This window comes from Homo sapiens, chromosome 10 (genome assembly GCF_000001405.40).
Source record: "Homo sapiens chromosome 10, GRCh38.p14 Primary Assembly".
NCBI lineage: Eukaryota > Metazoa > Chordata > Mammalia > Primates > Hominidae > Homo > Homo sapiens.
In genome coordinates this window covers 125,741,891-125,766,121 of record NC_000010.11, presented here as the reverse complement: position 1 = coordinate 125,766,121, position 24,231 = coordinate 125,741,891, and the positions used below count along the sequence as shown (strand labels likewise).

Genomic DNA, 24,231 nt, shown 5'->3' with positions numbered 1-24,231 from the left:
CATATTAGCCAAAGTTCATCTGTTTGTATCCTGCCAAAAGTCAAACCCAGTGGTAGCTCTGGGTCCTCATCTCCAAATCCCAGCCCAGGGCCCTCTGCACTTCCTCTGTGTCACTGTGGTGGTCTCGGGCCCTGCAGTGAGTTGCACCCTCTTGTTTGAACACACAGGCCTGCAACCCAAATGGCCCTGAACAGAACAGCTTTCCTGGTTCACTATAATTCATTTAGTGTTCTCTCCTACCACTTTACATGACAGTTTACTTAGGTTCTAAAGACCAGACTACCAAAAGGAGACTCTTGAAGCTAGCTGGATAATTTTATTTCTCCAATATCAGTTATATCTAGGATAGGCATTATATCCCTTTAACTCTTACATAATATGGCTATTAACTCTTAACCCAAACAAAAACCCAATGTCATTTGTAATGATGTGAACAAAATCTGAAATTAACTGAAATGGATTCAGTAGCCTCAATGATCAGGCCACAAATACCAAATTTCTTCTTCTAAAGGAATAGCTAAAACACAGGTACTTCAGGAAATTTTAAGTTAAAAACAGCAAGTTACAAATGTATTTTATAAGGATCTTTATTCCCCCCTGTAGGAACTTTCATGTTATTGCTTTGACAAAGGAAGATAACTAGAATTTATTCTTACTTGCTTCAGAACAAATTTTCCTCGTGACTGAAAGGTTGTTTCAACCAAGGAGAGGGGCTGGGAGGAAAGATAAGCATCTCTCATACCCCTAATCCCAGCTCATTCCTACCTAAGTAGGAACATCCTTTTGAATTCATTAACCCAAAAGATACTATATCATCTTTCATTATAATCAACAGAAGTGTCTAGGTTTATCTAGCAGGGCAAAGACAGTTTTATGATGTGTGTACACTTGCTACAAGGGGAAACGGAATGACAGTGGTCCTGAAATGAAACATTGCTGAATTCGTACAACTGCTTTACAATTTAGGCAAAACTTTAAATGTTTCAGTGATTAATTGTTGCAAACCGATACAAATCTGTTCCAGGGAAAATGCAAACTAAGTAAACAACAACCAAGTGGACAAATGGCAAGAGAGAATTCTGCTAAGCTATGATGGATGTTAACTCACTGTTAGTAGGCTGGGTGTGGTGGCTCACGCCTATAATCCCAGCACTTTGGGAGGCCGAGGCAGGTGGATCCCTTGAGCTCAGGAGTTCGAGACCAGCTTGGGCAACATGGCAAAACCCTGTCTCTACTAAAAATACAAAAAATTAGCCAGGCGTGGTGGTGCACACCTGTAGTCACAGCTACTTGGGAGGCTGAGCTGGGAGGATCCCTTAAGCCTGGGAGGCAGAGGTTGCAGTAAGCTGAGATTGTGCCACTGCATTCCAGCCTGGGTGACAGTGAGACCCTGTCTCAAAACAAACAAAAAAATCTCAGCCAATGAAAACACCTGAAAATCTCTGTAAAAGAGAAAGAAGTCTCTTTTACATCATAGCTCTGTAAAAATTCGGCTTAAAACTAGGTCTTCTAGACAGTTTTCTAGTATAGTTGGAATTCCTTCAGAGGTCTGGCTGGTGTGGGAGCGGGTTCTGGCCACCATGGAGGGCCTGCAGGGAGCTGGCCGAATCTCCAGTGCACCTGCCCCCAGGCCTACGCAGCAGACCTACCTACAATGGTGTCATGCACAGAAGTCCAGACCTTCACCTCACCTCGAAAGAGCCTGTTTTATCTGTTACACTGTCTTGAAATTGAAAATATGAATTATGAACGAAAACAGCCTTGTGCACTGTAGCCATTACAAAGAACAGGGGATGTTTGTGTGTAACTGGACAAGAGCCATGTAGCAGCAGCAATAAGTAAAATATTCTAGGGAGAATTTAGTGGACAGCAGAATTTTACTTTTAATGTTTTGAGCTTTGCTTTGTAAAGTTTATTAATTTTAGACTGAGTTCAAATCAAAACTCAATGTGAAGAATGGAAATTGGAAAAATACAAAGACATTTTAAATAAATAGTTTATTTATTCAAAATAGTTTTCTTACCTTATTCACAGTTTCAAGTTTGAAATGAAAAAAAGGGGTAGTACCTGTTCTTGATCAACTGTCATATAAAGTCAAAAGTGAATCCTTTCAGAACATGCATTAAATACAGCAAATTGCACAACAGCTCGTCTTTGAAAAATCCTGCACTGAAGCTTATGAAGAACACACCTTTTTTCTGGACAATTTAAAAGGAAACACTGTAGATGTACAGGAGGTCTCCTTAACCCACTTGAACCTGTAATGTCATCTGGATAAAAGTTCTCTTGACCAAAGTAACATTTTATCCAAAATAATCATATCTTAGACCCGTGTAGCTTGACATACTTCAAAAATACGTGAAAGTGTAACTGCATCACAGCAGGTCTGTTAATACCGAGGTACTACATACTTCTCAAAGACATAAATAGTGGAAGCTTTAAGTTTGATTCTGATGTTAGCACTTCAAGTGAAGAAGCCACAGAACTCAACCGTAATTTGTCTGTCACTTAAAATAACTCTGTGTTTCCACTGATATACCTGTTTTAAATGGATATTTCCCTATTATTTAATGAAACAAAGCACCGAATGAACAAACCGGCTCCGTGTTGAAGGCACTGACAGCGTGTCTGGGACACGGCTCTGTGCAGTCACTGAACGGCATTGCTGCTCGCTGCACTGCCGGCGGCAAGCTGGCCCAGCAGGTGGACGATAACGTTGATTCTTTCCAGAAGAGTCGCGGTTTTATTTGCAGTTGCTCTCAAAAGCTGGGAGTAAATGTGCTTGTTGGTTTTGAGAATTGTGTCATCTTCGATGTTATTGCTAGGGTTAAAAAAGAAAAAGAGACAGGTAAGGGACCAGCAATGCCTACCGACAATTCAGAGGTCCAGAAAACCGGACAGTGACAGCCCAACAGTCACTCTTCACAGAGCAGCAGGCATTCCTCTCCTGCCGGGTTCAGACCTGCCTTCTTTTACATATTGCTCATGGGCCTGTTTCTACACATTTATTTCAATACATCAATGAAATCCAGTACTCATTCCTTTTATAAATATTTGAATGCCTATTATGTACTAGGAATTGCTCTTGACAGAGAACAAAACAGGCAAAAAGAAGCCCCTGCCTTATGGAATTTGCATCCTATTGAGGTAGGAGTTTGGGGGAGGGGAGGGGAGGCACTGGGGGAAACCATAGTAAACAAGAGAGTGACAGACGGACGGCCATGAAGAAAATGCAGTGGAGCCGGGTGAGGGCACAGAAGGAGCTATGCAGTATTTCCTCTGTTCCTCAAGCTCGGCCTAAGCGCCTTCCTGTGTCATAAACACACATCTAAAGCCACTGTTGTACTGCCGTCTCTAGAGCTAGAACTACCTAGGATTTAAACATGGATTCCTGAATTACAAGAACTGCTGCATCTCAGTTTACTCTGAAAATGTCAGTGCAATTCTGTGTGAAGACTGCCCCTCAGCTGAAGAGTACTAGACAGTACTCTACCTGAAAACTATTTCAGTTTACAGTTTGTCCTGAAAACATTTACCCCTTATGATGGATCGGTGAATTCTATTTTTGTTACTACTGGAAAAGACTAGTAATTACGTGGCAGTTCATATCTAGCATCTTTTTTTTTTTTTTTAAATGAGTCCAGGTGGAGACCCCTGGCTCACATAACCAGATACCAGGTAACAATTCCACAACTCTTTTCAGTGTCCATGAACACATCTGAGCCTTACAATAATCCCATCCCCTCAGATAGGCAAGGACTAGCATTTTGAATTTACAGATGTAAAACCTAAGGCCCAGAAGGGTTAACAGTTTGGACTAAGGTCAAAATGTCATGTTTTCCAATTTCAAATGCTATGCTCTTTCACCTCTTCAGGGTACAAATTTTCTCCCTTCACCCAAGGGCTTGCCAGTCAGGCCTGCCACAGAGCAGCCAGCATGCAGAGCTCCCTTCCCCAGGAGTTCCCCTTTCTATTATTCCTGGCTCCATTCCTCCTCCACAGGATCCCCATCGCTGCCTTTAGACATTTCTCCCCTCCAATTCCCACTTATTTTATCAGGCAAATCTCCTCCTGCCTTCCCCCAACAACCACAGTACAGCAAGTGACTGTTCCAAATGCATTCCCTATCTGTAATCTGGGCCTAAGATTGGCTAGATTTTAGTTTTGTGGGGAGTTAACAGTCACAAAACCTTTGATAATCTTATAGAAAATTTAAATTACTCTGACAGTAATCAAGGCATTAGCACTTAACAATTAGAAAAGGCATTTGAAAGATGACTTATTCTTTGTGGACAATGACATCACACTGTCATTTTATTAATAGTTGGGTGCCTAAAGATAATTGATGGCTGCAGGGATCATAAACTTAAAATCTTTTGATTTGTCCTAACCATAACTCTGAATCTTAAATCTTCATCTTCCAATTTCTACAAATCACGCCTTCCTTAATGCATTCTTATCAGCAGTTTCACTGACCTATGACCCCTATTCAGAGGGCTCCATCATCTCACAGGCTTTTTCTAAAGGGAACTAACTTACATTCTTTCATCTCCCTTTTTACTAATCTTAACAAAATATTAAATGTACACATCTAATGGGAACAACCCATGAATCCAAAGGATCTGTTCTTAGCACTGCAGCAGAGAGCTCCCTGAATCTTCAGAGATTACTTCTACTTTTTATGGTATTTCATTATATTAAACCGCAAAGCCACCAAAATGTTAAGAGGCCTGGATCTGTGAAAGCAATGAATATTAAAATACAGTAGAAGAGTAAATTCTAAATTCAAAAAGAGAAAAGAGAAAACCTTTGGCCTAACAAACTGCTACTGCTAGAATTTCTAGCAGGTCAATGCCAATGCAGTTGTCATATGATGATGAAATGCCTGCATCACCTGAAAATGAAAACAAAAATTTTTTTTAAACAAGTAAAATGCATCTTTCACTCTAATTCTATAGGAATCTAATAAACTTAAGATTTTAATTATTAAGCCTTGTTTATTTTTTTGCCAGAGGGCATGAAGTGGAAAAAGCAGTAGTCAAAAAATAAAACAAAAATTTGTTTAACATGGCCTCTCAGTATCTGTGGAGGATTGGTTCCAGGACCCTCCAGGAAACTAAAATTTGAGGAGGCTGGAGTCCCTGATATAAAATGGTGCAGCATTTGCATTTAGGCTGTGTACATCTTCCTATATACTTTAAATCAACTCTAGATGACTTATAATACCTAATACAATGTCAATGCCATATAAATAGTTGTTATACTATATTGCTTTTTAAATTTGTATTATTTTTTATTTATTTAATATTTTCAGTCTGTGGTTGGTTGAATCTGTGGATGCAGAATCCTTGGATACAGAGGGCTGATTGCATTTTCTTTCTTTTAGGTCTCATTCTGATTTCTCTCTATATTGCAAAAGAGAATGTTCATGTATTCACTGTGAAACAACTAAGCCTGTGGCAGAGGGTATTTTCCTCTTAACAATAAAATTATAGATGTTTTCATTTGCACATCAGTGAAAAATGAAATAGTCACTGACTTAGTAATTAATATTTTTGTTTTGAAACTTGTCAAAGTGTTTATTTTATTAACACATTATCACATTTAAGTTTAATAAACCTTAAAATCAATATAAATTAGCTAAATAAGATTGTATGTGTCATGCATGAAAACTTTAGATTACAATAGTTTTCAGCAGAATATTAATAACCTAAATAAACAGAAGCTTAGAAAACCTTCCATTAAAATAAAAATTACTTAGGTCATACATATGACTGTTACAGTTATAAAAGATAAAACTGAAACTATTACCTATTACCAATTACTCAAATGATTGACTTGTGAAAAATCAATGAATCACTTTTTCTCATGTATCATATATTTATATTACCATCTTGTGGAAACCAATACAAATTTAAAAACTTTACCCACTGCTGTTAGAAAAAGGCAGGAATTCTTTCCAAGCCTTGTTACCATATGCAGTATCTGCTCCGCCTTAGGGCTCTTCAAAAAGATGGATGTCTCTGCTAAATTACAGTGAGTGTATCAACACCCGCTGCTGTGTACCACAACCAGGATATGGTGCAGACACTGTGGATTAACAACCAAATAAGGCCAGGCGCGGTGGCTCACACTTGTAATCCCGGCACTTTGGGAGGCTGAGGCAGGTGGATCATGAGGTCAGAAGATCGAGACCATCCTGGCTAACACGGTGAAACCCCGTCTCTACTAAAAATACAAAAAATTAGCCGGGTGTGGTGGCGGATGCCTGTAGTCCCAGCTACTCGGGAGGCTGAGGCAGGAGAATGGCGTGAACCTGGGAGGCGGAGCTTGCAGTGAGCCGAGATTGCGCCACTGCACTCCAGCGTGGGCGACAGAGCGAGACTCTGTCTCAAAAAAAAAAATAAATAAAAATAAAAACACACACAACCAAATAAAAGCTCTCCTTAGACTATAGAGAATTATTCAAAAGCCATTTTTTTTCTTTTTTTTAAAGAGTTGGGTTTTGCTCTGTCTCCCAGGCTGGAGTGCAGTGGTGCCATCAGAGCTTGCTGTGGCCTTGAACTCCTGGGTTCATGTAATTCTCCTGCCTCAGTCTCCCAAATAGCTGGGATCACAGGTGTAAGCCATGGCACTTAGTTCAAAGGCAATTATTGAAAGAAGTTTCTATTCATGGTGCAGAACCGGAAAAAGTCTCTGGCTCAAGCAGGGCAAACTACAAGGTCATGGCTCTTCTTAAATCCATGAGAGAGGTGGGGCAGCCAACTAGCCTGCAATCTAAGGAGAGACAGGCTGATACAGGGAGAGAAAGGACAGTCCTTCCTTACCTGGGGCAGATGCAGCCAGATGCCAGTAAGCATTTAGCTAAAATAGTGAATGGGTTGGTGGGGGCCCAGTGAGGCTGGTGAGAAAGTATAGGGCCTCTGTGGAGTCAGGGGGTTCACATCTTCTTACTGGCTTTTCTCCAAGGACCTCACCAAATGCCCACATAAAAGACCAGTGAGAATCCTGACAGACTGACCCTCCTGCTGTAGACCTATGACAGGGTAACAGCAGCTGCTATGGGAGGGACCAGCAACCCCACCTGGACCCTTCTCCTCTATGAAACAAAAGACTCAATGGGGGTGGGGGAAGACAATGAACCCTGCCAACCTTAGGGCGTTGGTTAAAGTCAATGAAGAGAGGGGAAGGGAACAGAAAAAAACACTCTGAAGGGTTAGGTGGGGGTGCAGGAGCAGTGGGAAGGCCACAGTCCTGAGACTCAGGGACACGAGTGTCTGCCTGGACTGAGGCTTAAACAACTATGGAGTCCTTGCTAACTCCCTGCTCCCTCCCAAACAGGCGAAAAGGCACCGAAGGACCAGTGACAGTGGAATATGGCTGGAAGAACTGTGAGAGTATAAAGACAGACCCTCTCTAAGGTGCAAAACAAAAGAAAGACCTAGAGCTGAAGGTAGAGAAGACACTAAGAATCACCTTCTGCAGATCTGTTCCACCCTACACACGAGGACTGCTAGGAAAACTTGAAGCCTGTGGTACATGGAAGGTAACCATCGCAATAAAAAAATCTCAACCACAGCTCAACTCCAGGCTAGAAAAATGAATTCCACTTCCCACACTAAAGCCGTAGCAGGGGGAAAGTACAAAAAATTCCAGGCAAAAAAAAAATATTTCTCTTGGTCTCTACTATCATACATAAGGTGTCCAGTTTTCAACAAACAAGAGATATACGGAAGGCAAGGAAAAAACAACATACTTCCAAGAGACAAAGAATCAACAGAACCAGCTAATTATGACACAGATGTTGGAACTATCTCATAGGGAATTTAAAAGGACTATAATTAGTATGTTCAAGACACTAATGGACAAGATGGATGCCACGCAAGGTCAGATTGGTGATTTCAGCAGAGAGCTGGAACTGTAAGAATGAACCCAGGGCAATTGCTAGAAATAAGGAACATTGTAACAGAGACAAAGAATGCCTTCAAAAAGTTCAACTGTAGATGACACAAAACCAAGTAAGGAATCCATGAACTTGAAGACAGTTCAACAGAAATTACCCAAACAAAATCACAAAAAGGAAAAAATGGCATCAAAAAAACCAGAACGGAATATCCAAGAGCTGTGGAATAACATCAAACAGTCTAACATAGGCATAACGGGCTACAGAGGAGGAGAGAGAATGGAACAGAAGAAAGAAAAATGCTGAAGCCAGAGGTAAAAGCCATCACGACACACTCAAGCCTATCATAGTTAAACTGCTGGGGGGTGAGGCGCCTACAGGCAAGGAAGATGCATTTCTAACAGATGAACAAAAGTAGGAAACACAGCTGGCTTCTGGTCAGAAAACACACAGGCCAGAGACAATGGAGTGACATCTTTAAAGTACTGAATGAAAAGGACTGTTAACCCAGAATTCTATACTCTGCTCAAAGATCTTCCAAGACTGAAAAAAGAATAAAAACTCTCTCAATTGAAAAGATAGAATTCATTGCTAGCACACCTACAAATGCTAAATGCTAAAAGTTTTTCAGGCAGAAGGAATATGATGCTAGACAGAAACCTACACAAAAAGTAAGAGTACTGAAATGGAATAAATGAAGGTAAATAAAATTTCCTGTTCCCTTTAATTGCTCTTAAAGATAACTGTATAAGGTAAAAACTAGTAGCAGTGTATTCTGTTTATAACATATGTACAAGTAAAACGTATAATAACAGTACAAAAGACGGGAGGAAGGAATTGGGAGTCTACTGTTAGAAGGTCTTTACAGTACATGTAAAGCAGTATCATATTACTTGAAGGTGGCCTCTCATGAAAGATTAACGATGTATACTGCAAAATCCTAGGTCAACTGCCAAAATAATTAAAAAGTGGCACATAATAAATCAATAGTGAAATAAAATGGAATCACAGAAAATAATTAACAGAAGGCAGAGAAAGAATCATATTAAATGTGAATGGTCTAGAGACACCAATTGTAAGACTGGATTTAAAAAGCAAGACCCTTGGGCCAGGTGCAGTGGCTCATACTTGTAATCCCAGCACTTTGGGAGTCTGGGGAAGGTGGACTGCTTGACCCAGGAGTTTTGAGACCAGCCTGGGCAACATGGCAAGACCCCATCTCTACAAAAAATTAAAAAATTAGTTGGGTGTCGTGGGGCACACCCGTGGTCCCAGCTACTCTGAGAGGCTGAGGTGGGGGATTGCTTGAGCCCAGGAAGTTGGGGCTGCAGTGAGCTATGATCATGCCACTGCACTCCAGCCTGAGTGACAGAGTGAGACCTTGTCTCAAAAAAACTAAACATAAATATAAGTAAATAAAAAATAAAAAGCAAGACCCAACTATTGCCACCTATAGGAAACCCAATTTTAATATAAAAGACATACAAAAAAAGACATTAACCAAAAGAACGTTGAGTAGCTATATTATCAAAGAGGGACGGACATCTGTAGTAATAAGGAGGTCAGTTCTCCCAGATATCACAATCCTACGTGTGTGTACCTAACAGAGCTTCAAAAACACATGAAACAAAACTGACAGTGCTGAGAGGAGAAACAGATAAATCCATAAGCGTAGCTGGAGACTTCAACACTCCTCGCTCAGTAAATTGATAGCAATAGACAGAAATTCAGTGAGAATACAGAAGACCTGAACAATACTATGAACACGCTTAACCTAACTGACATTTACACAATGCTTTACCCCAAACAGCAGGACACGCAGATTTTTCAAGTACACATGGAACATGTGCCAAGATAAACCATATTCTAGGCCATAAAACAAATCTACACAAACGTGAAAGAAGAGAACAAACACAGTTATGGTCTCAGCACATAATAGAATTCAACTAGCAAGCAATATCAAAAGATAGCTAACAAGTCCCAATATTCAGAAACTAAACAGCACACTTCAAATAACAAATGGGTCAAAGGAGAAGTCTCAGGATATCAAATATTATTTTGAAACAAATGAAAACGAAAATATACAAAAATATATGAGATGTAGCAAAAGCAGTGCTTTAGAAGAAAATTTTTGGCAGCAAATCTTATATTAAAAAGGAAAAATGTCTCAAATTAGTAATCTAGGCTTCCACCTTAAGAAACTACAAAAAGAGCAAATTAAGTCCAAAACAAGTAGAAGGAAGGAAATGAACGGCAGAAATTGATGACATTTAAAAGAGAGAAACAATGAGGGGAAGAAACAGTCAATCAAGCCAAAAGTTGGTTCTTTGAAAAGATTGGAAAAAAAAAATCGAAAACTTCTAGCTAGAATGACCAAGAAAAACAGAAGGATTACCAATATCAGGACTAAAAGAAGGGCTATCATCACAAACCCCCTTAGACATTAAAAGGATAATAAGGGATACTGTGAATCTATACATTTGACAATTTAGATGATGGACCCTCGTTTATTCAAGAAAAAGACAGCCTGAGTAATACTGTATCCATGAAAAGAAATTGAACTCACCGTTTAAAAACTTCCAACAAAGTAAACTCCAGGTTAAGATGGTTTTACTGGTAAATTCTACTACATGTTTAATGAAGACATAGTACCAATTCTATACAATCTCTTTCAGAAAACAGAAGAGGGAACATGAACCCACAGACTTTATGAGGCCAGCACTGTTCTAATACCCAAACCACACAAACCCATTATAAGAAAAGTGAGCTGTAGACCACTATCCCCTATGCATAGACACAAAAATTATCAACAAAATATCAGCAAACTGGATCCAGTAATACATAAAAAGAATCCTTCATCACAACAAACTGGGATTTATCCCAGGAATGCAAAGCTGGTTTAACATCTGAAGAATCAACGTAATCCACTAAACAAGGCTAAACAAGGGAAACCATGTAGTCATCTCAATAAATGTAATAAAAGCACTGGACACAAATTCAATATCCATTCATGATAGAAACACTCTTAGCAAATTCAGAATAGAAGAAAACATCCTCAACTTGATAAAGGCCTCTACAAAGCCCCACAGCTGATATGAGGCTTAATGGTAAAAGACTGAAAACTTTCTCCCTGAGATCCTGAGGAATTGGGGGCAGGGGCAGGGTTGACTGCAAAGGGGACAGCAGGAGGGAATTCTTGGAGTGACGGAACTGTTTTCTGTCATAACTGTGGTGGCAGGCACACATCTATATGCATTTGTCAAGGTTTGAAGAAGTATACACCACAAAGAGTCCATTTTACTGTATGTAACATAAAAAAATAAACAGACAAAAATGATCTGTACCCTAAGATTATACATCGGTAAAATATACATAAGATAACTGGTAACAATGGATGTATTAGGATAAATGGTTGTCATTTCCTTTTCTCTATTTTCCAAATTTTGTAATATGGCCAGATTGCACTTATATTTAAAAACAAGGAAGGCATATCATTGATATTACTTTCCTGATCTAGTACTTACTACTGAAATTTCAAATTAAATCAATAATGCCAAAATAACAAACTTTGACAAAAGAATGTAAGCGCAACAAGATGACTCAGGGCCATTAGAACATTTCTGCGGAGGTGTGCGCTCTTCTCTCCTGCTTCTCTCCTGCTTCTGTGTTCTGTCCTCTATTCTGCAGTGCACTTGGCCCTGAGCATCAAACTCCAGTCGAGACCCTCCATTAATGACAACATTCAGAAGCATCACTAGAAACGCAGATCTTCATTCCAGGGTTATTCATCTCCCTCAAGGAAAACGTTAACAACAGAGTATTTGCCCTTAGGCAGCAAGATTTCTTTCTTTCTGTAATTTCAATACATAGAAGGCTTTGTGGAGAGGGTTCTTACCTAGTTTAACAAGTCAAGAAGGAACACCACTTAAAATTCTACTATCCACATAGAAGACAAGACAGAATACAACCTATTTTTTTCTTTCTTTCCTTTTTTTTTTTTTTTGAGATGGTGTCTCACTCTGTTGCCTAGGCTGCAGTGCAGTGGTGTGATTTCAGCTCGCTGCAACCTCCACCTCCTGGGTTCAAGCAAGTCTCGTGCCTCAGCCTCCCCTGTAGCTAGGATTAACAGGCGCCCGCCACCATACCGGTTAGTTTTTGTATTTTTGGTAGAGATGGGGTTTCACCATGTTGGCCGGGCTGGTCTCGAACTCCTGAACTCAAGTGATCTGCCTGCCTTGGCCTCCCAAAGTGCTGGGATTGCAGGTGTGAGCCAATGTGCCTGGCCCCTAGTTTTTCTTTATGATGTTAGTAGAGAAAATTTTTATAGGTAGGGTGCTAGGAAAGAAATTCCTACAAATAACCACTTAATTTACCTTGTTTTCTTTTTAGTTGAAGATAGCAGTTTAATGGACTGAAGGAGAAGAAATGACAACCGAGACTCAAATATACTGAGGAGTTTCATCACTTCTTCTCGATTGAGACTAGGAGAAGCATCAGCAGCTGCAGCGGCGTCACCACTCTTAGGCTAAAAACAACAAAAAGTTATTTTACTCGAGCTATCCAACAACTGTAGTTTCATATCGTACCAAGTGATGGAACTGCAGTTTCATTCATCCAATACATTTTTAACCCTAAACAAGACAAACAAACAAAAAGCACACCTATGATCATTTTGATAGACTAAAACACATAATTAAAATGTCTCAGCCCCAATAGGCACTTTTGTAGAAGAAATTAATCCTGACTTTCCAACATTAGACACAACGCAGAAATGTACGGTACCACACAGGATTTGACCAAGCAGGGCTAGAAGAGCAATAGGTGGGCGCAACATGGGGGCTTCAGGAAGCTTTTAGCAACAGCAGAAGGTAAAATGAATGCCGGAATGCCCAGAAAACGAGAAATTCCTTCCTGAGGAGCCTGCTTAGGCCCATTCACCATTCAACTGCTCCCAGGCATTCTAGTGGAAATTAGAAAAGAGGGCACAGGCCTTTTCTTTTAAAACATAAAACAAAACAAATTCCCACCAACAGCAACAAAAAAACTTAAGAGACTTTATAATTTGTTAACTATGGTCTTGTTGAGATATATTCTTAAAAATATTTTAAAATACTTGCAAATTAAAGAAAGGAGATGAATACCAGGCAAATATAACAAATCACTGTTAAAATGTTTTAGTGCATAGCATACATATGTACATGTGTGTATATATACCCACACACATACACACACACGTCCACTATATACATTCACCATGTAGCTTAAGACACACAAAAACCAAAGACAGTCATTTTCTCCATGTACCTGGCCAAATTCTTCTATAAGCTCCTTCTGGATAAGCTGGAATGCGTGCTCAGTTCTCACCATTATATCAAGAGCCCCAGATAGTGTTTTCAACTTTCCAACATTGCTATTCTGACCTAAAGTTTTAAATACAAAACGTTCATTTCTTTAATATAAATCTAGAAACCCATCTAATGTTAATGTATTAATGAAAATTCAGACTTTCAAAATGCTATAAAGGAAGCTAATGAGAATCTTAAATCTTCTAAATCCAACTTCTATTTAATAATATTCCCTTGACAAAAATACTAAGTCTGGACAAAGCAATAAATAATCATTGTTTCCCTGCCCCACCATTTGGTTTTGTCAAGACAGGCCACTTTTTCAGAACAGGAGCCTTAGGAAAAGGGACCAGCAGAAAAGAGTCTGGGGCTCGAGGCCCACCTCACATTTTACCAGTTGTGTGGTCAAGTCACATAAGCACTTAGTATCAGTTGTCCTATCTGTAAAATAGTTTATTACATCTCTGTTCAAAGGCAGGAAGTCAGACCAGATGAACAAGGTTTTGTTTTATTCTAGAGCCTTCTAACTACAATTTTTCTAGAGCTATCAGATACTACAGGACACCTTTGCTCCTGTTCTCCTAGAACTCAATTGTGTGCGGTGTGCAGTAGAGGATTAAATCTTGTACAGAGGTTTAGTCTTTGTCCTTGGCTCCCAGAAGGTAACCACTAAGTCCTTGAAATGTCCTGCCCGGTAAGAACGCCTTTGTTTACCTGGGGGTCCTTGGGTCACAATGGATAGCCTAACAATGGGATTTACTGTGGGGACTTTGGGCCCCAGGGTAACAGCTTGACCTCTGGAGGCACTGGAGACAAAGATCAGCCACGTGGCAGTCAACCATGTCTATCTGACCAAGTTCCAATGAAAACTCTGGACACCAAGGCTTGGGTGAGCTTCCGCAGTTGTACATGTATTGATTGATACACTTGGTGAGCACTGTCATGCATCACTGCCGGGGTGAGTTAGCACTATCTGTAACTCCAGCAGCAGAGGAACTGGGAGCTCCGCGCTTAGAACTCTCCAGGACTCTGCCTCCCGAGCCTCTTCCCTTGGCTGATTTTAATGTACATCCTTTCATTGTTAAGAAATTGTGGCTGTAAGCAGAACAGCTTTCAGTGAGTTCTGTGAGTCCTTTAGCAAATTCTCAAACCTGAGGGTGGTCTTGGAGACCGCCGACAGACTCGTAGTTAGTGTGAGAAGTGACAATGGTCTTGGGGACTCCCCGACTCTGCGGGTGGGGAGAGAATAACTGTTGCCTTCTTCCTTTAGAAGTATAATCCCACACTTTCTAAACAACCTATTCTCTTTAAAATCAATGGATCAATGTGATTTCAGCATAGATTTGGCATCTGGAAGACAAGCTATTGCTTATGTATGAAAGTGTTGTTGGGACAACGACCAGACAATATAGACATTAGGAAGGGAGGTCTGAATCATATGTACTAGAAAAAAAAAACAAAAAAAAAAACACTGGGTAAAATAAGATAGAATAAAAGGTGTCACAAACTAGAGCATTTATTAACTTGGCTTACAAAACCCACAAACCTGGCTAACAAAACCCTCTAAAATATTTACATTATTTTCTAAAGTACTCACAGTAGTAAAACATTTAAAGGAGAGAATTAAACACACTTATCATCTTAGCAAATTTGTTCCAGTATCTTCCAGCACTTTGGGAGGCCGAGGCAGGAGTATCGCTTGAGCTCAAGAGTTTGAGTCCAGCCTGGGCTTATAACATAGTGAGACCCTGTCTCTACAAACAATTTTTCCAAAATTAGCACTTGTGATCTCAGCTACTCGGGGAGGCTGAGGATCACTAGAGCCCAGATGGTCAAGGTTGCAGTGAGCCATGACCATGCCACTGCACTCCAGCCCATGTGACAGGGTAAAACTCTGTCTCAAACAAAACAAAACAAAACAAAAAACAAAACCCCAACAACAAAAAAGATGCTTGATCATTCTAAGGAATTCAAACATGGCAGAATATTCAAAGGTGCAAGTGAAAACTGAAGATCACTCTCCCCAAACCTTCCTCACATAAAGAGCTACTGTTAATTCTGGTGACTGTCCCACACATCTAGCCATGCGTTATATGCCAGCAAAAAATTAGTTTTAGTAAAAACCATTTTTAGAAACTGTTTTAGATAGGTAATACATTCCCAAATTTACAAGGTCCAAATGGGTATGCAGCAAAACCCCTCCTCTTGGCCTTCCAGGTTTCCTCCCCAAAGGGAACAATGTTACCAGTTTCTTATGCATCCTTCAGGGGCTACTGTATTATGTAAACTAAGTCATACAGATTTAAAGTATTAACCTTATTTTACAGCAGACTGAAAAACTAAATGAACTGCTGCACTTCAAATAATTGTTTCTTGTTTCTTTACCACACAGGAGATATTTCTCAAAAGACTCCTCTGCGGGAGAGGAGAATAGGTGAGCAAGAGAGAGAGGGGGAGAACTTAGGAAAAATCATTAAGTGGTTGAAGTATCTGCTTACTCCATGCCATGGAAAATAACATAAGAAAGCATTCTCACTTTCACCCTTCTCTATCTCCCGACTTATCTTGACCTCGGTCAGGCTCTACAGTAGTGTCTGTTCTGGAACCACAATCCAAGGGTCAGTTCTATGTTTAAGGGGTTCAATAAGGTCCACTACTCCTTTACTGTTGCCTCTCCATTCCCAAATTTTTCATGCCGATTTAAATCTTTTTTTTTGTTTGTTTTTGTTTTTTGAGACACAGTCTTGCTCTATCACCCAGGCTGGTGTGCAGTGGCACGATCTTGGCTCACTGCAACCTTCGCCTCCTGGGTTCAAGTGATTCTCCCACCTCAACCTCCTCAGTAGCTGGGACTACAGGCCTGCACCACCACACATGGCCAATTTTTGTATTTTTAGTAGAGACGGGGTTTCACTATGTTGGCCAGGTTGTTCTAGAACTCCTGACCTCAGGTGATCTGCCTGCCTCAGCCTCCCAAATTGCTGGGATTACAGGCGTGAGCCACTGTGCCTGGCCGATTGAATTCTTTAACTGTCTAAATTTATTTGTCAATTTTTTTTCCAAACTAGGGGTCATGGGCCATATCTCAGTATTTCTAGTCACTGAACATAATCTAATACATTCCTCTAAGTTTTAAAAAGCACTTCAAAACATGTAGTGATTTCTCACCCTCTCTACCCGAAGTCATTAACTATGGGGCAAATTAAAAAGAAAATAGTATTATTTAGATTCACAGGCCTGCCTTACTCTAAGACAATCCAGCACTAAGCCAATGCATACATATCTGAGAAATGAAAATTAAGACTTACTGGTCATCTGAAATTCAGCAAATGCTACTCTCTCTAGCTGTACTCTAAGCAGTTCGCAGGGAGCATCTTTCAGCAGCTGAAACAGCTTTGCGGCCTTGCTGTAATGAAGATCTGCCAGCACCCGGTGTTGTTTCCTAAGGTGTTCATCACCAACCTAGAACCAAACCAAAACAAGCAACAAATCCTTCACGGTAACTACTTCAGGCTTCACTAAGTGCTTCTTAGTTATTTTTCCCCCACTGTGGGTCTTACTAGGTCTTATTAGTTTTAGCTTTTATATTTAGGTCTTTAATCCATTTCCTTTCTTTTTTTTTTTTTGAGACAGGGTCTCGCTCTGTCGCCCAGGCTGGAGATGCAGTGGTGCAATCCTGGCTCACTGCAACCTCCGCCTCCTGAACTCAAGCAATTCCCCTGCCTCAGCCTCCCAAGTTGCTGGGATTACAGGCACCCGCCACTACTGCTTGGCTAATTTTTTAATTTTTTTCTGGGGTTTTGTCATGTTGGCTAGGCTGCTCTCTAACTCCCGACCTCAAATGATCCAACCACCTCGGCTCCCAAAGTGCTGGGATTACAGGCATGAACTGGAGAAGATTTCTTTCCACTTCGACTTAGGAAGTCCTCAACCAAAATTCAGGTTTGCCCAGATGGCCTAATATCCTGAGGGCAAAAGCAAGCTTAAGGGTGCCAAGACAATGCAGCAGAGGAGTAGTCTTTTCAGCAAATGGTGCTGGGACAACTAGATATCTATATGCAAAAGAGTGGGGAGGCCTGGGAGGCGGAGGTTGCAGTAAGCTGAGATCGTGCTACTGCACTCCAGTCTGGGCAACAGAGTGAGACCCTGTCTCAAAAAAAAAGAAAAAGAACTTCTCCAGTTTAAGCTGTATCTCAAAAGATACTTTTCAGAATAAAGGCAACCCAGAAGTAAACTCATGCCAAAGGGACTGTAAGGTAAGTAGTCTTACCTTACGGGGGGGGAAAATCAACAAAACAAACAAAAAAACATCACTGAGAAACTACAGGCCCAAGACTCGCAGCAAAAGCCAAGCAATCTCTCGGAAGGAAGTGCCTTTATCCTCGGCCTCAGATTATTCTCAGAAATACAGGCATTTGGGCACCAGGATTCATGTACAATCCTGCTGGCACTAGATTATTTCTAATAGCATCAAACTGGAATCTGGAATAACCCCAAAATTCACTAATCATAGACTAGATAAACTAAGATATAGTCATTTAATGACTACTGAGCTGAGAAAATGAACAGCTACGTGTGCCAACACAGATGTATCTCAAAAACACGATGTTAAGTGACAGGCAGTAAGCCACAGAACACCAACAGCGGATTCGTTTTCCCATGCTCAACATGGAGCACAATGCGGACATATTGTTTAAGTGGCACAGCACAAAAAAAGGCACAGACGCAGCAGAAAATTTAGGACAGCAGTTCACCTGAGTGGACGTCAAGGAAGACATATATGACCATGTTAAAAAAACAAAAAGCACCCAGAACACTTTTAAACTGATGTGGCACTGTACTTAACTTGGACTGACAATACCTGATTCCTCAGACAGCTGTGGTACATGGAGGCCAGCCTGTGATGGATGGTTGCAGCTCGATACTGACAAAGGGGCTGTCGAGCAGACACTGAATCCACATCGCAGTATTTTAGGGACTTCATCATGGCCTCACTGACTTCTTTCTCAATCTGTTCTTGTTTTGAGGGGGAAGAAAAAAATAAGCTTCTAATCTGACTGTAGGAGTTTTTAAAACGTTTAAATACTGCTTATTAGGGAAAAGACAACAGACGCTAAATATTTGTTAAACAAGGGAATTAGATTGAGAACTTATTTTATACTCCAGCAAATATTATCACCTGCTCCTGAGCTTTTCTAGATAACGGAGCATAATCTTGCTGTAGAGTTGCCATAGTAAAGTAAGTAGTGGACAATTCCCAGTTCACTGAATCCCAAACAGCTGGGTGTATGTCTCGTGTTCCCAATGACCTTAGCGCTTTCAAATAGTAATCAATAGCCTGCAAAGGAGAAAACAGTGTACATTTCTGACTCAGCTTAAACATATACCAATACTGCATTAAAATAAAACACACTTCACAACTACCCAGATGTTAATTTAATTTTGGGATAATTTATAAAGAGACAATATTATGAGGAAATGAAAAAAGTAAGTCAATGAAAATATTTCAATGAAGAAAGTTATTCCGAGTAGACTGAAGACCACTCTGTGTTCCCATCTCAAGGCTACAAGAAGCCAATCCGTGCTGCTGCTTTCTGACTCAGGCTGAGCATGATGATGCACTTGTTTCCTTTGTTTTTTTTTTTCTTTCTAAATGAAAATTACAGTTTATATAACTAGTAAATTAGATTAAAAACTTGCCAAATTTTACGTAAAAAGAAGTATCTCCTCCTACCTTGTTACCCCAATCCTCAAATACATGGCCATTATATTGAAACCAAAAACAAAACCACACTTAATCACCCAGCAATAATTTCTACATTTCTGGTGTTTATTTATTCACTCTTTTCTGTGTATATATAAATTTAAAAAAGAAAATCAAAAAAGGTCACTCATTTAAAAATTTATGCCACCAACATTCTTCACTAATGTCATTTAAATGGCTTCAATTCCTCCATTATATGAGTGCTCATATCTTTGTACCCTCTCCAACAGTGGGTGTGACCATTTGTCATAAAATTTGGCAATCTAATAAATAAAACTCAATTTTGAGGCCAGGAGTTTGAGACCAGCCTGGCCAACATGGCGAAACCTCATCTCCACTAAAAATATTATAATGCCAAAATGAGACAGGCGTGTTGGCAACATGCTTGTAGTCTCAGCTACTCAGGAGGCTGAGGCATGAGAATCACTTGAATCCAGGAGGCAGAGGTTGCAGTGAGCCAAGACTGTGCCACTGCACTTCAGCCTGAGCAACAGAGTGAAACTCTGCCTCAAAAAAGTAAATAAATAAAACTAAACTTTGAAAATTTTCTTTTATATATATTAGCCATTTACTTTTTTTAAAAAATGTGTACATTTTCTGTTCAAGGTTATTTGCTCTTTTTTCTCTTTGGGTGGTTTATTTTCAATGATTCTTATTTTATACAGCAAGAGTATATTAACCTCTCATCTCTATGATTTGCTTTCAATTTCAGTTTCTGTTGAGCATTTTTAGATCTTTATTTTTTATACATTTGTGCATTTTAGAACTTTAATTTTACACATTTGAGTTTATTCAACTTTTACCCAGGATTTCTGCTTACTGTGCCATGCTGGGAAAGTCTTTCTGTAACCTATCATATAAGCCTCTACCTATATTTTCTTCTAATACTTTTACAGTTTCACTTTCTCCATGTCAATCTTTAATCCATTTGACATTCATGCTCGTTGTACAAACCATTTGCAGAATCATCTTTTCCCTTCCAATTCCACATGTCATCTTCAATACTCAATTCTTACTAGTCTTAGGCCAGGTTGCAAGTGTTTTCACGATCTGTCTGGTGTTGTATCATTAGCAGAGTTTAATTATTTTTAGTTTTATAGTATTTTAGTGAAACTGGCAAAATGTAAATAAATGACAGGTGTGAATGGGTGAGGCCCAACATGTACGCGAATGTGTTACCTTATTATAATACAAGCCTTCTTCTGGTGAAAATTCACGTTTCAGTTCATCCCCTGCACCACAGTGGGCCTGCGCACAAATCCGCATGAGCCTTCCCGTGTTACATAATAAAAGGGCGGCATTGGTGGCATCCTCAATTGATTCAAAGTTGTGAATTCCCTTTTCAAAACAAGAAAAGCTTTTTTTCCACAACTGTTGCTCGGCAGCAGACACAGATTTGCTCACTTTACAGAGAAAGAAAGAAAACAACTGTGTAAGCAGACATCAGTGTAAACCTTAGCACTGTCTCTTGATGAGATAAGAGGAGGATGGCAGTGACAGGAGTGTGGTGGCGAGCCAGTCACCTGCAGTCAACCACGGCTCATTGCTCTCACCATGCCTGTTACATGAAGGTAAACGTGTCCATATGAGTTCATATGTTGAAGCCCTAACCCCTAGTTCCTTAGAATGTGACTGTATTTAGGACAGGTCCTTTAAAGACGTAATTAAGATTAAATGAGATTGTAAGGGTGGGATCCTAATCCAGTATGACTGGTGTCCTTTTAAAGAGGGAGGGACTCCAGGGCTATGCACAGAGAGAAGGCCCTGTGTGGACACGGTGACAAGGCGGTTATCTGCAAGCCAAGGTAGAAACATGAGAGGAATCCAATGCTGCTGCCACCTTGATCTTGAACTTCCAGTCTCCAGATCTATGACACAATAAATTTCTCATTATGTCACCTAGTCTATGATATTTCATTACAGCAGCCCCAGCTCACTAACATAGCTTGATGAAGTCTCTCACCATCCTGCTCTGCCTCACCCAGGATGGGAACCATCCCTTTGTCCAGCACATTCATGCTGTATGCACGGCCCACCCATTAGTCACTTAGTAGCTGTCTGGGTTATCAGATGACTGTTACAATATTGCTGTGCTTTTGTACAAGTAACCCTTATTTTGACTTAATGTCCCAAAGCACAAGAGTAACGATGCTGCCATACTGTTGTAAATGCTGTTAATCTCTTACTGTGCCTAATTTGTAAATTAAACTTCATCGCAGGTATGTATGTATAGGAAAAAGCACTGAAAAACTCTCCAGTTTCAGGCATCCACTGGGGATCTTGGAACGCATCCTCCAAGGATAAGTGGGGTCTACTGTACAACACTTAAGTATAACCCTCTTCACTATTAACCAAATGATATTAAAATAAGCAAAGAAAAACATCTGAGCAAAGTGCCATTTTGTGAAGATCCAAAAGCGTGGTCCCCATGGAGTCTGAAGAGATTACAACCTGTGTTGTATCCAATTTCCCTAGCTTCCTGACTACCACTTTCCAGGCTCCCTCACTGACTGCCCCCTCCAGATGCACCGTAAATGCACAGGTTCTCCCACTAGCAATGAACTCTTTGAGGGCAACATTTGTATCCCTAAGTGCCAAGCATTATTCACAGATCAACAGGCACACAGGCTGGGTGCAGTGGCTCATGCCTGTAATCCCAGAACTTTGGGAAGCCAAAGCGTGAGGACTGCCTGAGGCCAGGAGTCCGAGACCAGCCTGGGCAACCCAGCAAGACTTCATCTCTAAAAAAATTTTTAAAAATTACTTGGGAGGCCGAGGTGAGAGGATTGCTTGAGCCCAGGAGTTCGAGGCTGTGGCAAGCTATGATTATGCCACTGCATTCTAGCCTGCGCGACAGAGTAAAACCCTGTCTCAAAAAAAAAAAAAAAAAGAAACAACCAAAACCAAAACCAAAGGCCCACAGATGTTCAGCTTACCTGCTCACCTCAGTTCTACCTCAGCCCCTTTCTGTTCTGTCCCTGTGTCCAGGCTTTACATTCTTATCTATTCTCACGGCTTCAACTATTACCTTTATGTGAATGGTTCTCAGTCTGTCTCACTAGCCCTACAGCTCTTAGCACACTTCAAATTGACTACAAATTATACCTTTCACATACATGTTCCATAGTGAACTCAAATTCAACATGGGCCCAAATGGTTTACCATCTCACATCTTACTTACACCATCCCACATCTTACTACGCCATCCCACATCTTACTTACCCACTATCCCACATCTTCCTCACACAGGCCTCTTGCTCCCTCTAAACGTACACTTGCACCCTTTGAGATCCCTGGCTTCTTCCTCACACCGCCTCCTTGGTCTGGAGTGCCCTCCTTTCCTCACATTTGCCGGCTGATGCTCTACACATCCTGCATCACCCTGCTCAACAACACTTTCCCAAAAGCCTTCTAACTTATAACCTCCATAAATGTCTTATTTCCCCAGTCTCCCATTATACTTCGTCGGTACTCATCCACAGCATTTTGAGGCTTTGTGTTCCTATCTAGCTTCCCAACATGAAGAGAGAACCATATTTTAGCCAGTTACATATCCAACATAGAGCCTGGCACATGGCTGGATGTCCCATTTGCTTCTGAATTGATCAGATGGAGTGAGTACAAAAGTAAGAATGAAGAACATTGAAATAATTCATTCCAAGGGAAAATCATGTGTTCCTAATTCTATTTCTTAAGAATAATAAGAGGTTCTCTAATAGAGCACCTCTTTATGATATAAAATCAAGTGCCACAGTTCTTTGCTTGACTCATACAAAATTAGCATAATTTTCTGAGAGAACAAGCAATAGAGAGGAATCTAAAGAGATACTCACCTAGTCTCTCACTCTGTAATGCAGCAGCCTGATTCATGTAAAACACACCAATTTCATTTCTAATGTTACCCATTCTCTTTAATACTTGTACATAGTGTTCTGGATTTTGGCTTTTCAAGTCACTAAACTGCAAGATTTCATTAGCAGCCTCATAACATTTACAACTAACAGAGAGTTGACTTTCTAAGTCTGTAGACAAATCAGTTGCCCATGCAAATCCTGAAAAGAAAAAAGGGATACATCAATGCGAATCATGTGATTCCTTCTTCCTCAGTATCCAAATGAACCTGAGATTCTAAATTCTAAGTAATAAAAAATGCAATATAGTGTAAGTATACCAAGATTCAATCAATACAACAATATTTAAGTTTCATAATAAAGATCTATTTATTTATAAAATTATATTTCTTGGGATATTAATGTTGGATAAAAATATTTTCCTGCCTATGAATATCAAACAATTTCTGTGACCCAGGTTTTCCCAGGTACACTTGTTTATTAGAATGGACCTAAAGTTGTCCACTAATACAAAGTAAAGTTGCTATTTTTAACTAATGGAAATAGTTCTTGAAATAATGTCCCAATATTAACTTTAAGTCACTGAAGAGGCTGCTACAGAAGCCCTCGAAGATTAAAAATGCCATCTAGTGGGGACTAGAGTAAAAAGAATATTTAACTGAAATTGCTATGATGGGAGTAGTAAAAATACACCAAGGACTTTCCTACTACATTAAAACATGATTATTTGAGAAAGACGGAGAGAGGGGAAGAAAGGGCAAAACTATTACAAAATAACACATTTTTCCCTCTCCCCCAGTATACTCCTCTAGCTATGAATTGTCTAAAACTCTGGGAGGCAAACATCAAGTAATATTCAGTATAACAATTTAAGAGCATAATAAAACAACCCCATGAGACATTACAGAAGCACCTTCAGAAGACTCATCTTTTACTTCATTCACTGTGTTAATGGCAGCGTGGTTACACACTGTGCTGAGGTAAGAGGGAGGGATATCGCTGCTGCGGATCAGATTATTCTACTTCCCAGTTTTAAAGCCTGACAATTCCAAACAGAGTGACATATTAAGCAAGACAGGTGGCTATGAACTAACTTTAAAAACAATGATCACTTTATTTCAGCCCCAAGGAATCATTCAGAAGGTTAATTAACCTCCTTCACCAACTGTTATACCTTTCAAAAGGAAACCTATGGCTTTGTTAGCTGACTACAAGTGTTACCTAGAAGAACCTCATGAAAAGAAGAGTGTAAAAAGCTGACACAAGGCTGGGTGCAGTGGCTCGTGCCTGTAATCCCAGCACTTTGGGAGGCCAAGGTGGGAGGATCGCTTGAGTTGAGGAGTTTGAGACCAGTCTGGGGCAACGTGG

The 24,231-nt window shown here is 40.1% G+C and overlaps 1 protein-coding gene and 1 long non-coding RNA gene across 12 annotated transcripts in view, besides 1 other annotated feature; one reads left to right on the top strand and one right to left on the bottom strand.

Moving 5' to 3' along the window:
• EDRF1 (erythroid differentiation regulatory factor 1) overlaps positions 1,983 to 24,231 on the bottom strand; it is a 44,431-nt gene continuing 22,182 nt past the window's right edge. For 4 of the 11 annotated variants that reach the window (NR_110857.2, NM_001202438.2, NM_015608.3 and 1 more), the window contains 8 exons: positions 22,846 to 23,064; positions 20,192 to 20,415; positions 18,428 to 18,586; positions 18,110 to 18,259; positions 16,557 to 16,710; positions 13,208 to 13,323; positions 12,277 to 12,428; positions 1,983 to 2,821 (listed from right to left, as the gene is read on the bottom strand). Coding sequence is in view for 8 of the 11 variants with exons in the window: in NM_001202438.2 (NP_001189367.1) it covers positions 2,650 to 2,821; positions 12,277 to 12,428; positions 13,208 to 13,323; positions 16,557 to 16,710; positions 18,110 to 18,259; positions 18,428 to 18,586; positions 20,192 to 20,415; positions 22,846 to 23,064 (1,346 nt within the window). In the remaining 3 variants the exon portion in view is untranslated. Of the gene's footprint in view, positions 2,822 to 12,276; positions 12,429 to 13,207; positions 13,324 to 16,556; positions 16,711 to 18,109; positions 18,265 to 18,427; positions 18,587 to 20,191; positions 20,416 to 22,845; positions 23,065 to 23,207; positions 23,903 to 24,231 lie in introns of those variants that run through there. The other 7 variants (XM_047425036.1, XM_047425037.1, XM_047425039.1 and 4 more) reach the window with 5 other exon arrangements.
• Positions 9,648 to 9,942: a silencer, noted in NCBI's record as "tiled region #6903; HepG2 Repressive non-DNase unmatched - State 15:Elon". NCBI's record gives its function as "represses a minimal TATA promoter and a strong SV40 promoter by Sharpr-MPRA in HepG2 cells {active_cell/tissue: HepG2}" and the evidence as "EXISTENCE:reporter gene assay evidence [ECO:0000049][PMID:27701403]".
• EDRF1-AS1 (EDRF1 antisense RNA 1) lies at positions 14,062 to 21,395 on the top strand. Its single transcript, NR_120633.1, has 5 exons — positions 14,062 to 14,137; positions 15,641 to 15,682; positions 16,594 to 16,747; positions 20,424 to 20,583; positions 21,271 to 21,395. It is a non-coding gene; the product is annotated as an EDRF1 antisense RNA 1 (long non-coding RNA).